Source organism: Homo sapiens, chromosome 13, assembly GCF_000001405.40.
Source record: "Homo sapiens chromosome 13, GRCh38.p14 Primary Assembly".
Classification (NCBI taxonomy): Eukaryota; Metazoa; Chordata; class Mammalia; order Primates; family Hominidae; genus Homo; species Homo sapiens.
Window position 1 is genome coordinate 71,150,780 of NC_000013.11, and position 18,016 is coordinate 71,168,795.

The 18,016-nt window shown below is 34.9% G+C and overlaps 1 long non-coding RNA gene across 1 annotated transcript in view; it reads left to right on the forward strand.

The window, feature by feature from the left end:
- Nucleotides 1–17,638, forward strand: part of LINC00348 (long intergenic non-protein coding RNA 348) — a 153,277-nt gene extending 135,639 nt beyond the window's left edge. The window contains exons 3-4 of the long non-coding RNA NR_047699.1: nucleotides 16,591–16,647; nucleotides 16,907–17,638. This is a non-coding gene — a long non-coding RNA (long intergenic non-protein coding RNA 348). The remainder of the gene's footprint in view (nucleotides 1–16,590; nucleotides 16,648–16,906) is intronic.
- Nucleotides 17,639–18,016: the final 378 nt, after the last annotated feature.

Genomic DNA, 18,016 nt, shown 5'->3' on the forward strand with positions numbered 1-18,016 from the left:
TTTGCAGGAGATGGATAAAATAAAGAAAGTCAGTGTTGGCATCATTTTGTGCATTCTTGCTATTGAAGGAATTAGAGTAATCTACATTCCAGTTCATATGCTCCTCTTTCTTTTATTTCAGTTCCACACATCACCCTAATTTCATGGTTAGAGTGAATACTCTACAACTCCTTTCTTTCTTTTTAATCTTATTCTCTAAAATCTATTTAGTATACACAATAAGAACTAAAATATAGGAATGTATCATTTCCAGGTATCCCAATGGGTCATATGATTCATAATTCTCTAAGGAAAAGATTATAGTGGGAAGGGCTTTCTGTCTTTAGTAGATACAATCCCTGATGTTGTCCTATTAAAAGTAGGGCTCTGTAATTTCTAAATATGACGTGGACATAGCACAATAAATGTCTAACTTTACTCCATTTTATATGTCATATTAAATGTACTAAATTATGCAGCAGGTCAGAATCCCGAATACTCCCTAAAGGAGAAACTGCCTGTACATATTTAGGGCTCAGATAGTCAGCACAAATAACACATTTAAGGAAACAGTCTGGATCCTGAGTTTGTTTTCCTCCTGACTTCTGTCTGTTATTTCCCATAAATCCTTTATATCAATACTACTTTTTTATGTGGATTTTAGATCTTCTATGGTCCTTCTAAAAATGGCTAATCACTTGATTTCTCTGACTGTAATTCATCCTCCACCTCAATGTCCTGGTTGTCCTTAGCTCTGACATGCAATTTTCCTTCATGTGAAGAGACTCTTGAGTCAGTTCCTGCAAGTTACTTTATGAAAAGAACAATGGAGAACTTGTCATATACAATCTGATTTTGTTGAAAAATTTGTTGTATATATATAAAAAAAAAAAACTGGCCGGGCGCGGTGGCGCATGCCTGTAATCCTAGCACTTTGGGAGGCCAAGGTGTGTGGATCACCTGAGGTCAGGAGATCAAGATCAGCCTGGCTAACATGGAGAAACCCCATCTCCACTAAAAATACAAAAATTAGCTGTGCATGGTTGCAGGCGCCTGTAATCCCAGCTACCTGTGAGGCTGAGGCAGGAGAATCGCTTGAACCTGGGGGGCCAGAGGTTGCAGTGAGCTGAGATCACGCCACTTCACTCCAGTCTGGGTGAAAGAGTAAAACTGTCTCAAACCAAACAAAAAAACAAAATATTATTTTGGAATTATGTGTCTACCACTGAGAATGAAATTAACAATTTTTTGTAATGACTCATTGATAACACATTGCCATCCAACAAATTGTTCTTTCCTTGAAATGTAATTACTAATATTTACATATAAGAAATGATATTTCTTCTGGAAAATAAAATTTGTCTTAAAGATGATTTACCAGTAAGGCTAAAAACCACCATATTCAGGGTAAACAATTAATTCAGTCAGTTTCTACACTGTATACGAAAGCTGGCAAAAGAAGAGGGTTCAGGGGCAAGAGCCAAGATCTGGCTGACAGAACAGAGCAGTTAGCACTTGCTGCTTGGGTACCTAGGGATATGGGCACTAACCTCTGTGATGATTATATTTCAGCCAAAGATGCAGCATAAGCTGATATATGTTATCACAGACTGAGCCATAAAAGTCTATGGAACACAAGCTCCTTTTTACAAGAAGGACTAACTCTACAATGTTATATGACTTAACAATATAACAGCTGGAATAGAACCATACTTTTTCATTCAGAAATTCTTGCTCTTCCAGCAGCATGAAATTCACCTATTAGGTAACAGGAAGTGTGTGTGTGTGTGGTTTGTGTGTTTGTGTGTGTGTGTAAGGACCTTTTCATAAGTGTGATCTCCTATGAACATGGGTGTGCAGATCTGAACTTAGCTCTCCCTTACTCAAAACACTTCAGTGGCTTCCAATTATATTTATCCTAAACCATTAATACCTGGGATTTCAATCATAGCACAAAGGAGGAGAGAAGTTGAGCTACTTGGGGACAAGGTTGAGTGTTTTACCAGAATTAAATTAAAATTCTATTGCAATCTCTAGAGCAACCACTAAGAAAAGTCAAAATTATATAGTTTTAAAAAATCACAGCTATTCGGGAGGCTGAGGCAGGAGAATTGCTTGAACCCGGGTGGCGGAGGTTGCAGTGAACTGAGATCACACCATTGCACTCCAGCCTGGGCAACAGAGTGAAACTCTGCCTTAAAAAAATCAACAGAGAAACAAAACTATATAGTTAACTCAATATAAGGCAGTAAAGTAATCACAGAAGTACAACAAAGACACAAGACAAATTGAAAGCAAATATGAAAATGATAGATGTAAATTCCACAATATAAGTAAAGTAAAAAGGTAATGATCATCAAATTGGGTTAAAAAAAATCAAGACTAACTATATGGTGTTTTTGAGAGACATACCATAGATTCAAAAGCACAAATAAGTTGAAAATAAAAGAATGGCAAAGATATACATATATCTGTCAAAAAATAACCACAGAAGAGCTGGAGTGACTGCATTAAGATATGAGAGACTTTAAGAAAAGAGACATTACGATAAAGAGTGACAAAAGGGTCCACCAGGTTCATAATGATGAAAGGATAAACTCAGGGGAGGAAAAAAAATGTTTATGCACCTAACAACAAAGTCCAAAATAGTTGAAGCAAAAACTGGCAGAATTGAAAGTTGAAATAGGAAATCCAACAATCGTCTTCAATAAATTATATTCCCAACTCTCAATTGTTTATTTTTAATTGTTAACTTTTAGTTTAGGTTTGGGGGAACATGTGAAGGTTTGTTACATAGGTAAACATAGGTAGCAGTAGTTTGTTGTACGTATGATTTCATTACCCTGTATAAAGCCCACTACCCAATAGTTATCTTTGCTGGTTCTCTCCCTCCTCCCACCCTCTATCCTCAAGTAGGCCCCCCTGTCTGTTATACTCTCTATCTTCATTAGTTCTTAACATTTAGCTCCCACTTATAAGAAAGAACATGCAGTATTTGGTTTTCTGTTCCTTTGTTAGTTTGCTAAGGATAAATAACCTCCAGCTCCATCCATGTTCCCACAAAAGACAGGATCTCATTCTTTTATATGGCTGCCTGGTATTCCATGGTATATATGTACCACATTTTCTTTATCCAATCATTGATGGACATTTAGGTTAATTCTATATCTTTGCTATTGTAAATAGTGTTTCAATGAACATTCACGTGCAGGTGTGTATATGGTAGAACAATTTGTATGCCTCTGAGTATATACCCAGTAATGGGATTACCAGGTCCAATGGTAGTTCTGCTTTTAGCTTTTGAGGAATCACCATACTGCATTCCACAATGGTTGAACTAACTTACACTCCCACCAACAGTTCCCTTTCTCCTCTACCTCACCAGTATCTGTTATTTTCTGACTTTTTAATTACAGTCATTCTAACTAGTATGAGATGGTATCTCATTGCAGTTTTGATTTGCATTTTCCCAATGATCAGTGATATTGAGCCTTTTTTATGATTGTTGTATGAAATATGTCTTCTTTTGAGAAATATTTGTTTATATCATTTGCCCACTTTTAATGGGGTTATTTGTTTTTCTCTTACAAATTTGTGTAAGTTCCTTATAGACGGTGGATATTAGATCTTTGTCAGATGCATAGTTTGCAAAAATCTTCTGCCATTCTGTACGTTGTCTGTTTACTCTGTTGATAGTTTCTTTTGCTGTGCAGAAGCTCTTAAGTTTAATTATATTCCACTTGTCATTGTTTTTGGCGTCTTTATCATGAAATCTTTGTCCATTACTATATTAAGGATGGTATTGCCAAGGTTGTCTTCTAGCATTTTTATAACTTTGAGTTTTACATTTAAATCTTTATTCCATCTTGAGTTAACTTTGTGTATGGTGTTAGGAAGGGGTTCAGCTTCAGTCTTCTGCATATGTCTAGCCAGCTAACCCACCACTGTTTATTGAATAGGGAGTCTTTTCTCCATTGCTTGTTTTTGTAAGATGGTCTTAGATGTGCAGCCTTATTTCCGGGTTTTCTATTCTGTTCCATTAGTCTATGTGCTTGTTTTCATACCAGTACCATGCTGTTTGGGTTACTGTAGCCTTGCAGTATAGTTTGAAGTTGGGTAATGTGATGCCTCCAGCTTTGTTCTGTTTGCTTAGAATTGCCTTAGCTACTCAGGTTCTTTTATAAACTCAGCTAAAAATCATCAAGAATACAGAAGACTTAAACAACATTATCAACTAAATTGATAAATTGTAAAAATTAAAATTTTTAACACAATTAATCCAAAGTCTACAGTATTCAAGTTCTTTCAATTGCATATCAAATATTCTCCTGGATGGACACTTATTTTGTGTTTAGCCACAAAATAAGTCTGAATAAATTTTAAAATATTGAAATCATATAAAATATGTTTTCTGACCAGAATTAAATTCGAATTCTATAACAGAGACAAGAATCTGAAAAATACTAAATATTTGGAAAATAAAAATTTTTAAAAAATGGCTCAAAGAATAAATTACAAAGGAAATAGATAAGATTTTGAACTGAATAAAAATTAAAACACACCTTAAAACTTATAAGATGTAGCTAAAGCAGTATCTAGACGTAAAGTTATATCCTGAAATCCCTGTATCAGTAAAGAAAAAAAAAACTCTCAAATCAGTAGCCAAGCTCCTGCTTTAAGAAACTAGGAAAAAAGGCAAACTATGTAAAAAGCAAGCAAAAGCAAGCAGCATAGACATAATGATTGGAGCATAAGTTAATAAAACTGAAAACAGAATCAATAAAGAAATCAATGAAAACAAAAGTTTGTTTTTTTGAAATGTTAAACAAAACTGACAAACCTTTAGCGAGTTAGATCAAGAAAATAAGAGACAAGGCACACATTACCAGGGAAAGAATAAAAGAGATAATGTTATTATTAATGACCAAACAGATAATAAAGGGATAATAGAGGGACACTATGAACAAATTTTTGGCAACATGTTAGTGTGGTGCCAAAGCTAGTGAGTGATAAAAATAATTTAGAAACTGGGAAAATAACTTTGATCTACTCTCCTGAGAACTAGGAATGGTCCACTACCAAGAGAAATAATCTAACCATAAATGCAAAAAACTGGACAATGTTTGAGGATCATAATGGAAATTTTAAAACAAAACAAAAACTATATCACAGTGATACATTCTGGGGAAAAAAATAGCTACTAGGAAGAAGCATACTCTAACAGAAATAACTTGTACTTCAGCTATTAAAAATCACTCCAATTTTCTTGATTCTCAAAGACTGAAGTAGGTATCTCTTTTTTTGTGCTACCGTATCCCTCTTTCATCATAGTCCCTATTATACTCCGTATTGAAATCACCAGGTGACATATTTATATTTAATACCTGATATCAAAATTTTTGAGGATAGAGACAATGTTTTCTGCATTGTCATATTCCTATTGCCTAGTACGTGGTTGGGGCTCATCAGATATTATATTTACTTGAAAGACTGAATGAACAGACATAAGACAGGAATTTTCATCCAGCTCTCAAATTAACTGGGTGACTGAGAAGTAAGCCGTAAGGAGTAACTCTAGTGTCTTCATGTTGGCCTTCTGTGACGTTCTGTGAAATCAATCTGGAATGGTATCAAGATGGAATCCAGTTTACCCACCCCCTAGGTTATATCAGTTGTATTCATAAGCTTTGAACGTGAGCTCCTGATCACTCCAGGAGCAGGCCTGGTGCTCACCAAATCATTACTGCTGTTCTAATGGGCTAGAGCAGGAGCCAAAGTTCTGCCACTTCATAATGCTACCAACCCCCGATCAAAACAGAGGTGGAGCTACTGCTTCCCAACGAAGGCTGTAATTCAAAAACTTGATAGACCAAGGGTCAGCGCTTCTTCTCCGCAGGCTGACAGCGAGCCTCTTCAGATCTCTGAGCACTATTTGGAATACAGTGCACAGCAGTGCCACAGCTCCTCCTCCTCCTCCTGGAGCTGATATTTCCTGGTAAACCTGGCTCCAGCCAACTGCTAGTGTGAGATCCCGCCCTTTGCCTTTGATTATATGACACTGCTTGGGCAAGTCTGTCTGATACTAAGCTTCCACATCATCTAAAAAAGAAGAAACAAAGTAAAAGTCTGTGATTCTACTTTGATTTCTCCCCAAAATCTGTATTTGTGAGTAAATCATAAGCCAATCCACTGAAATTGCTTGTTCACATCACCTTAATGTGGTAGAGAGAAGTTAACATAGGCAGACTGGCTAGGCAAAGAGAAGCATTTTATTTATAGTAATGAGGGAAGACTCAGTGGCATAATTTTGAAATTTGAGGGGCTCCAAGGAATATTGTGCTAATGCTCCTTACCCAACTTTCTGCACCCGGAATTGTCCTTCATGTGCCCTTTGCTTTCTCTACATTCTGAAGAGGAAGTTGGACTATACAATAATATTTTTTACTGGAGTAACTGTTAATTAATGAGATAAATTTTTCTCTGTGACTAGTGGTCAAAGTCCTATTGACTTACATGCACAATGAACGTCATGCCAGGAACTCAAAAAATTTTTCAAGAGATCCAAAATGTATCAAAAATGATTTGGAAAGTCTTTGTCTAAATATTTTTAAAAATAGATGACTAAATGAAATTAAAAATAAGAAAGCTGCTAGACTTTGAATATTTGTATATTTTGTTATAAAAGATATATACATATACACATACACATATATATGGAAAAAGTTAATGCAGCAGTCTTGTTTTATTCTATTCTTGCCTATAGGTAATCGTGATTACATGCAAACTCTGAGAACAAAACAACTTGAATTTTTTTTTGTAGCTACTGAGTGATGATGTTCTTTCTATACATCCCAAGCGTTCTGTACATCTATGCATCCCAAGTGCATCAAGATGGACCAGGTTGTCAGCATGTTCAGAGTAAACATGAAGATTTATGATGTGCATCTAATGCCTGGTTTGGGGTCTGCACCATGTTGGAGTCCAAGACTCAAGTGGGCTTTCCTGGGTAAAGATTGCTCCCACATAATCTACAATTTGCAGGTGGAGAAAATGATGCATCTATTATGTGATACCCATAAAGTGAAGGCAAGAAAGTCTGTGTTTGTGACCATTCCCCTTTGCCTATTGCGTGTCTTTTTCCTGTAATCCTTCACTATATGCTTTGCTGCAATAACTGTTAACTATTGTATATAACTTTATGTTTAGTTACATGAGTCCTTCCAGTGAATTAGTGAGCTTGTGCAGTCATTGCTCTACAAAATAGCACATTTCATAATAATTTTATGAATTGGTTTATGATAATCAGTGATGTACTTTCAAAAAAGATATACTTTATAGAATTATAATTTTGCTTCTTTTAATACAATTAAAAACTCATATGAGGTATTTAGTCTAGTCAAATTCATAGAGACAGGAAGTAGAATAATGATTGCCAGGGACTGGAGGAGGTTGGAATGAGTAGCTGTGTAATGGGTACATAGTTTCAGTTTTGCAAGATGAAAAATATTCTGTGGATGGATGGTGGTGTTGGTAGCACAACTATGTGACTATACCTAATGCCACTGAACTATACACTTAAAAATGGTGAAAATGGTAAATTTCATATATATTTTCCCATAACATTTAATGTAATTTATTAAAACAATAAATAATAATGTTTTACTAGCATAATGTTTAAAATCAGTTGCAATCACTCAGTAAATGTCTTTATATCTTTGTGTTTCATTTTATTATCAAAGACAGACTAGCTAAGGTCCCAGTTATCAACTAATACATCTGAAATTAAAACTTCCCAGGAAGCAGCAAGTCGCCCTTTCCCATTCTTACTGTTCCTTTCTATTTTAGGCCTTCATCTTCTTGAGAACAGTCTAACTGCTCAGTATTTCCCATTCCGCTAGAAGGTCTCGGGGACCTGGTTACAGTCCATGTCCCTTTTTTGTTTAGCTATTCCCACTCTCCAGAGCTAATAAAATATAGTCCAGTCCCCATAATCTAGTCTTGAAGACATTTTATTTTTCCCCCGAAGTCACTACCTCTCCTACTCTGCAAAATATTGTATTTTGGGTCCTGAACCTTCCACTCCTATCCAAACATACCATTTTCTTTTATACTTCTAGACCACTAAATTTCTGTAGAGAATTACACCCCCCAACCCCTTAATAATGTGAGAAGGTAATATTGACAGGGTATATTTATTGTCCTTTAATTGTCACCTCCTCCGTGATGTCCTCTTCACCTCAGATTCTTCCAGAACTAACACTGATTTGCCCAGTGTCTTCCAAAAGTTCTTGGTCCACCTCTGTTTTATAGTACTATTAGAGTTGAATAGTTATTTCCATTTTTTTCTTGCCCCTTGTGGAGGGAGAATAATACTTTACTACCACATTAATGTCAGTCTTGGCCATGTTATTTGGTCTCACCAGTGAAATATAAGTGAAATTGGCATGTGTCCCTTCCAGATAAAAATAATATTAAGAGTCAGAAATATTTCACAGAGAATATTTCTTTTAGCTTGAGTTCCATAGTGAATATAATATACAGGAGAATCATAGCCCAACGATGAGCCCAACAATATTAGTTTTTGTAAACCACAGCAATTTGGGAGTCATTTGTTATGACCGAGATTATCCTTACTAATAAGAGTTCTAACAATGTTCTGTATTATTAATTTGTCTATAGAGCTAGCTCTTCCCACTAAACTATGAGATTAATTGCATTAAAAATTGCTATTTATCTTTGTTATTTTAATGCCTAGCACTTTGCTCAGTTCAGAGATGTTTAATACATTTTTTGTATGAATGGACAAATAAATGGAAAAAAAAGGATAAAACTTTAAAACTATTCCAGTCATTATTATTATGCTCCACTATGTGGAGTTATTTCTTACTGTATCAGAAATGTTGCTTACTCAGTATTCATATATGTGAGTATTTTCATCAACTGGTTTGTTGGGTTAATGATTTGATCATTCCTTGAAGAGACAGTGATTTAACCTAATAGAGATCAAAGCTACTGATGTTGTCTGAATTTAGATTAGATAAGTATTGCACCTTTCTAGTGTATGTTTCACCATTTTGTTTATGGAGTGTGAAATATATAGCCTTGTGCTGTTTCTGCACCCTTCATCCATGCATAGCCAACAAAATACTGTACGCACCATTTCTGCTAACCTTGGCAAATTAGTAGAGGTATTTGTGTAATCAGGCAGTTGAGTGTTTGTGTAGTTTATCACTTTTTATGAAAAGGGAAATGTGTTAAGGAGGATTAAGCAGAAAAATAACTATCAGTGGCTTATATTTAGAATATTGCCATAGTAGAATAAGAAAAAATAAAAGTGATGCCAAGTGTTTCATTAAAAAATATTAAGTTTCATTAATAAGGTGATATGACAAAACCAAAACTATACAGTTCATTTTTTTCTTGTCAGTGAGAAAGTAGAGAAACATTTGTCTTCCTTTTCTTTTTTTGAGAACACTAGTCCACCTTTAATTCCATGTGACTAGCTCCCAGTATTTTTTTTTAGCTAAGATTGCAGTCCTTTGAGAACAATGTTGACAGCTTTGAGCTGACAAAGAATCATTATAATCAGTGCTGAAGATATGAAATCACAATGAGAGAATTCATGTTTATAGTAGCAGGGACCACACACTGTGATAGTTTGCATTAGGAACTCAGCAGGTGCAATATGCAAAACTGAATCACAGTAGAGGATTTGAGGAACTTAGGATATAAAAAGGTCATTTTTGCTCGAGTACCTGTCTACTGTGTTAAAGTAAAAAAAAAAAAGAAATTTCCATAAAATTTTGCAGAAGATAACATATTGTGTATACATGAACTTAAAGGTTTCCATAGTGTTAGTGCAAATTATATTGTTTACCTTAATGTCAACAGCATTTGAGTGCTAGATACAGAAGTTGATTAAAAGCATTATAGATGTCATTTTATATAAGCAATAAAAAACCTCAAGAAATTACAAATGGCAGATCTTATAAATATTCAAATAAACAAAATCACCCAAATGTTTTTCAATTGTTAAGGAGTGGGCTGAGCTGTAGAGATGAGGTGTGAAAAAGTATTATAACAGTGAAACCCTGTGTTTAAGTGCTGTCGATTCTCTGTAGCCACTAGGGTGCACCGAATGTAATGGCATCATTTTTATTCTACTCTTTATGCATGGAATGGGGAAGGTGGTTTTGCAAGGAAAGTTAGATTAGTTGGCCCTGAGAAAATTGTCAAGTAAATGAATTGTTATTCTTAGAACCGTCTCGTTCGTCTATGATCTGAACCTATTTGGCATGTTAGTAATATTTCTCTTCCATATATGTCACTCATTCATTTTTCAACAATGCTTTACAAAACACCGATTCTGTCTAGGCACAAGAGGATCATGGAGGTATAGAACATGATCTTTCTTTTTGAGGCATTTGCAGACTAATGGAAGACATGAACACCTAAGCATAATTACAGGAATGTCATTAGAGACATGGGAGCCACAAAGAAGAAAGCGCCACACTCTGCCTGAGCTTGTAAGCATTCACAAAGGTGCAGGGCTATGAGTTGAGGTGTTTTCCTATGGGTATGCACTCACTGAGTAAATAAATGGGTTAGTTGAGGCAGAGAGAACATCACACAAAATGCATAAAGAAAGCAATAAGCAGCTTGCTGAGATCGACTTCCAAAGGGTTTGTGAGAAATGGCTAAACAGAAACAGGAAAGCGGGCAGAATCCTGCTGACTATATGCTGAGGAATTTGGGTTTTATCTTGTTTAATTAAGAGTCATAGAAGGATATTAACAAGGAAGGCAATATTAACAAGTTTGCCTTTTAAAGAATTTGGAAGATTTTTCTGGGGAAACTTAAAACTGCAGGTGAAAAAAAGGATCACTTAAAACCTAAACTCCTCATTTTCTCTCCCCACTATTAACACTTGTAGTCTTGAAAATTCATTTAAAGATATTCATTTTAAATGTCAATTGCCTAACAACAACTTACAAGTATTTGTATGCTTTCAATAATATATTCTGTGCAATAATGATCCAAATCACAATGAAACTAAGTGAAATTTCTTGTACTAGGTTTTTGGGAAGCTTGATAACTTTCAGGCTATCACTGAAAAGCACCAGAAGCAGGGAGCACAGATTGTTAAGATACTTCGCTTTCCAGTCTTAGTGGAAAGATGCAGAGGCAGAGGGGTATGATGGCCTTGAATTTGTCCTGGACCATTCTAACCCTTAAAACCACTGTCCCTAAAATGCTACAGGCAATTCTTTACTCTTAAGCACTAAGGGATCTTTTTTCCCTCTTCCCGCTTGCTCTTGTTGCTTCTCATCAGTCTTTTAATTAAATTCCAACCTGTTGTTTTTCAAGCTACTCCTTTCTTATAGTTTTGAACTGGACACAGTTCCTCAATTGTCGATAGACATTCACTTTGGGTTTTAAAGTATAAGCCAGGCAGAATGGTAAATGTCCGTAGTTCCAGCTACTCGCGAGGCTGAGATGAGAGGATTATTTGAGCTCATGAGTTTGATTCCAGACTCGGCAAATAGTGATACACCTGAGATGTTGTCTCTAAAAAAAAAACTGTTTAACTTAAAAAAATGTACACATTAATTTTAGTTATTTGTTTTTATTTTTTATTACTTATTTATTTATTTATTTATTTATTTATTTATTTAGAGACGGAATCTCGCTCTGTCGCCCAGGCTGGAGTGCAGTGGCATATCTGGGCTCACTGCAACCTCCGCCTCCCAGGTTCACGCCATTCTCCCGCCTCAGCCTCTCGAGTAGCTGGGACTATAGGTGCCTAACACCATGCCCGGCTAATTTTTGTATTTTTAGTAGAGACGGGGTTTCACGGTGTTATCAAGGATGGTCTCAATCTCCTGACCTCGTGATCCACCCACCTTGGCCTTCCAAAGTGCTGGGATTACAGGCGTGAGCCACCGCGCACGGCCTATTTGTTTTTATTTCTATTAATGGAAGTGAATTCAGTTTTATTAAATGAAAAACTAATATCTTACATATTCAAAATTAGTTTGAAATTCTTATAAGATAACAAGCATTTTCTCATATTCAAACAGATTTTTAAAAATACAGATGTTCTATGGTTTTATTAAAATATTCTATGTTCAGTAGATCTGAACTAGAAAGATGGTTCTGAATGTGAACCAATACTGCTGTTTGCTTCTATCAATATATGTGAATTTAACACATATTTTTTTCGTTTCTTTATTTCACATCCATGTGACACTTACTCATAAGTTAAACCTCATGACAGACACTGCCTGTGGAGAGTTTACTCTCAAGTGAAAGAAGATACAGATGCACACAAATAACTACAATGAAATATTATAGGTGAATATTAGGACATTGAGCACAAACGTGGTTCTTTTCTTCTATTAAATTTCAGTAGGGAATATGGCCTTAAAAATGCTAGAAAATAAATTATTGCTTTCCCATAATGCCTAAAAGGAGAAATGCAAAGTGTTAGGAAAATATTTTTAAAAATAAAATAAATAACATATTTATAACACCTTAAAATTCACAAAATATTTTTGATATTTCTCTCTTTTTTTGTTCAATTGTTGATACTGCTGTCACACACTATAAGCACCTAGCAGCTACTGGCTTAGGTATTTATGCATATTGTCCCATCTCATTCCTACTTCAGACTGATTGCTAAGGTAGCAATTACTATCTTCATGTTACTGATGATGAAATAGAAGATGTGGTAAATTAAATAACTTGTCAAAAGTCATGTAACTATTGATGTCAAAACAGAAATCCAAACCCAGACTTATCTGACTTGAAAGCTCATGAGCTTTCCAATGTGAACAAAACAAAGATTATTCTATTTATAAATGAGAAAAAAAGAGTAATTAATCTGCCCACTGTAAATTAGAGGGTATATATTTGAATCTAGGGTTTCTGACTAAGCATTTAAAATACTTTTCATTTAAACTTGTTGACTCTGGTGACTCTTTTGTGTTGTATGTTAGCATTTTAAATAAACTAAGAGATGAATAAACATTCATACTATACTTTCTTACTAAAGTTTACCGAATGCAATTGTGAAATTTTCTAGAATACAATGTTTGTATCACATTAAATAATTTGAAAATTTTCACTCTAACTCTGTAGGATATATGAGCAAAACTAAGAACAACTCCCCTTAATTGCTGATTAAATTAGATTAATAATCTAATTTTTATTCATAGTATTTTGCAACTGATCCCATGGTATCCTGAAACCATGTACCAGTTAGTAACTGACACATTTTCAACACTAAGTTATTGGGTTCCATAAAGAACAAGTGAAGTTTTAACTTAGTTTGAAAAATTGTGGAAATTAAGAGTCAGAGCCCAGTAAAGTGAGGTGGGTATCTATGTGGGGGGGTGGGGGTGGCTGGTGAGAAACATCAGAGCCCAAGAAGTAGTGAAAGTGATGTCCATAGGAAGGCAGGATCTGGGGTAACGTGGTGTGGAGTCATGGAACCCAATGGTGTGAACAGAATATCCTCATAGCCAGGTAGCCCGAGGGGGAATCCAAAAACAGTCATGAGAATATCCATTGGAGAGACATAGAGACATCTAAATAAAAGCAATGACTGTAACCCTCGAATTAAAGAGGAAACCAGGAGCCCATACTTTAATATATAAATTAATTAACAGTCTGCTGACAGTCTGGTGACAAATGTGATAACTACATAGTTCAAAGTGCTCCCTCCAAAACTTTAAAGAATTACCAAAGGAAAAATAGTCACTTCACAGTTGGAGAATCCTGGCAGATAACTTACTTAAGTGGTCAGAGTGAATATCATCAGCAATGGACAGAATCAAAATCATTCTCCATCTGACAAAATACAATGAGAAGACTTGTAGTATTCTTTCTGTGGTAATCTGCCAAATGCTCATAACCTAAATCTAACAGTATGGACACTGAAACCCATATTGAAGGACATTCTAATCTGTCTACAATCTTCAAAAGTGTTAAGGTCATGAAAGTCAATGGAAGACTGAAAAAACTGCCAAATGAAGTAGACTAAAGAGACATGGCAACTAAACCAGACATATGATTTGGAATTGTATTCGTTTTCTTTTGCTGTCCTGATAAGTGACCACAAACCTAGTGGCTTAAAATAACTCAACTGTATTATTTTCTATAAGTCGGGATTTCAATGCTAATCTCACTCCAGCTAAAGCCAAAGTTTTGGCATGGTTGCATTTCTTTCTGAAGACTCGGGGTGAGAGTGGGGGATCCATTTCCTCCCTCATTCTGGTTGTTGGCACAATTCAATTCCTTGCACACAGCCCCATACATATTAGAAGCAGCAACTGGATGTGGTCCAAGTCCAATCCTTCTCATGCTGCCATCTCTCTGCACACAGCTGGGATCAGTTCTCTGCTTTTAAGGAATCGTGTGATTAGATTTGGTCTACCTGGGTATCAGGTTAATTTTCTCACCTCAAAGTCTCTAAACCTAATTACATTTTGCCATGTAAGCAATCATATTCACAGGTTCTAGCTAATATAAATAGTTTTGTTTTCGGAATGGAGGGAAAGTACTTATAAAATTACTGATATTGAGTGATTTCAGTCAAATGTACAGTCTCTTGAGGGAAACACCAAGGTAACCCAATCTTTGAAAGGAACATGAGAACATCAGATATTAGTTTTGTTTTATGTCTACAGTTTTGTAGCATGGACATAGGCAGTGTGAGCTAGCTAAGCTGTTTATTAACATTAGTTCCTTACTCTTTTTTTTTTTTTTTTTTTATTGAGACCAAGTTTCGCTCTTGTCACCCAGGCTGGAGTGCAATGGCGCAATCTTAGCTCGCTGCAACCTCCGCCTCCCAAGTTCAAGCGATTCTCCGGCCTCAGCCTCCCGAGTAGCTGAGGTTTCAGGCACCTGCCATCATGCCCAGCTAATTTTTGTATTTTTAGTAGAGACGGGATTTCACCATGTTGGCCAGGCTGGTCTCGAACACCTGACCTCAGGTGATCCTCCCACCTTGTCCTCCCAAAGTGCTCGGATTACAGGCGTGAGCCACCACGCCCGGCCAGTTGCTTACATTTTTTTTTTTAGGATTTTTTGTATTCATTTTGTTGTTATGCAATATTTATTTTGTTCTTAAGGTAAGGTAGACATAACTATAATTGCAAATTCTTCTACATTTAGATTTCAATTAAGTATCTATACCTTAGTAAGCACAATTTACATGGAAAACTTGGTGAAAAAATTATACAAGAAAATATATTAAATCCGTTAAGAAGTTTTGGTGGGTTTCTTTTCTTTAATGTTGTGTATATATTAGATAATGATAATTCTGAGGGTAGTTTTTGCTTTCGATTTACTGTTTGAGCTATTTCTATTGGAAAATCGTTTATAGGCAAAAACAGTTTCACTAATCCAAATTTGCACTGTTTATGACTTCTGAAATAGAAACCTGAATATCACATTGAATCAGTTTTGCTAATACAGTGCCCTGTAAACAATGCATGACTTATTTAAGAGATCAAACCAATAGTGAATAAAGTAGAATATCATCCATTCATAGGCACATCAGTTGGTAGCTTTGTCTGTGTTTGCAGGTGTATGTGTCTCTTGGTGTGTACAGTTGTACATCAAAAGCCTTAGAAAGACAACTGTATGCTGATAAATACTGTAAATGTCTAATTTCTGGACCTGGAGAAGCTTCCTCTTAACTTCCTCTAATCATTAACAAAAAGATATTGAATAAAACATCTAATGTTACAAAAGTATTTTGCTATTTATCAGGAAAATAGATGATTAAAGCCATTTGTTTTCCATATTCTAATTTGAACCTAAATTTCTGCTTATGTATAATATATAAATCATTCCTTAAAAATTTTTTTGTCTATTTTAGCTTTTAAATATTTTACAACAGATTTTATTCTGAAAAGAAAAATTTTAAAAGGCACATAATTGAAGTTTTCAGAATTTCAATTCAATCCTTTTCTCACTAAATCATGACATTATTAGGTAGACATAAAACCTACAACCAATCTTTTGCATAGGTAGTAATTAAGCTAACTTATATATGTATTTTTTCCAAATATTCGATGTTTCTTTGGTAATATTTTTCTAGCATAGTTCTATTGAAATTTTGACTATAGCGTATTTTCATTTTTTAATTAATTTTGCTCTTGTTTGCTTTCTCTGATGAGAATCGTGAATAATGAAAAATCATATATTTTTAAGAGAAAAGAGTGAAAAATATAGTTGTATTTTGCTCATATTTCATGATCTTATCATTAGTTGGTGGCACTAAGGTAATTATATTAAGAACAAAACCTCCTAGGCTGGCTTTCTGTTTCCAGGTAATTCATTCATATGTATTTATTTGCGTTGTATTTAATGACTCTCTAATTTTATATTATTTGAATGATCCTTATAATTAAGGCATTCTCTACTAACAAACAGCAGTGTTGCTTTAATTTACTCTATTGGGACGCACGAGCCTTAAAGACTACTACCTTAGTTCATTGACGGATCAAGCAAATAATAAATTTGGCAAATATCTGTAAGATACAAAAGTTTAATACCAAGAAAATAATTTTAGACTGCCCTTTTTTTCCCATTTTCCCCCAGATATTTCATGATTCTGAAGAAGAATTGGAGGTGAGACTTGAGAAAATGGAGAAAAAGGTAAGAATATAAAGTGGCTAAAGTAATACACATGCACATACACACACACACATATATACACACAGAAACACACACACACACACACCTCAAAATAAAATCTGAGAGTGGTAAAAGGGTGATGGAAAAGAAAATATGACTCAATATGGGAAGAAAAAATGAGCCGAATGTACGAAAGAAATGGGAAGTATCAGAAGAGATTATGAGAAACATTTCTGAAGATTATGAATTTAATCCCTTTAATTTTTTTTAAATGTTGCAGATATGCTTTGGATTTTCTTGAAGACTAGAAGCTTTCTTAACCATCCACCACCTTGTTGACTGGTTATTATTCTCTCTACCTTCTGTGAAACAAACTGATGGATACTAATGGCACAATTACACTTATAGCTAGTCAGTTGCATAGTTTATGCACATAGTTCTGCTTCCAGTGTTTAGTAATGAGTTAAACATTTTGGCTATATTTGTCTCTGAAGCTATAATTTCAATTAATCATTATGTATAGCAATAATAACAAGTAAAACAAAAAGAAGAATTTTTTGTTTCTATGGTAATTATGTTGGGTGCTTTGGATCCTCCCAATAAAGTTGACTTCCTAAAATAATTACACTTGAATTAGGTATAGAGAAGCTAATTGTAACAAATTGAAAGTTACTGTAAATCTTCTAATCGTAGTTCTCTGCAAGTGTACTTAAGTTATTGCTCCACTTGAAATAAATGAAAACTGGAAATCTGAGGTGATGAATTATGGGTCCCTTTTATGTAAGAAAGATGACAAGGAAATCTAATCTGCTGAGTTATACTAAAATAAAATACCTTGGCCTGGGATCAAATATAGGTGAAAGAATTAACATTTATGTTTTTTAATTAAGATAAAATGTACAAGTTTTATGTACATATTTTATGATTTCCTGATATAACAAAAAGTGTTGATAAAAGCACCCAATACTGATTCTAATGACATTTGATTAGCATTAAAGAGTTGCTATTATTATTGTTGTTGTTGTCGTCATTGTTATTTGGTGACTGGGTGAATATTAGACACCCAGTTGCCGAATGGGTGGTTGACATCCACCACCACTGGCAATGACCGAGCCAAGTAGATACCAACATTCAGGTGGGTGTGTATATTTTTACCTTTTTTGAATGAACCCCTCCACTATTCTTGGCAGCAAAAAACATCAGAGAGATTAATCTATACTAATCATTGTGTAACCCATAGATTAGCAACATCAGCATCACCTGGAAGTTTATTAGAAATTCATCATGTCAGGTTTAAGCCAAAACTTACTGATCAGAATCTGCATTTTAAAAGACCCCAGGTGATTTGTTTTCAATTAAAGTTTGAAAAGCACTAGTCTAGAGTTTTCCT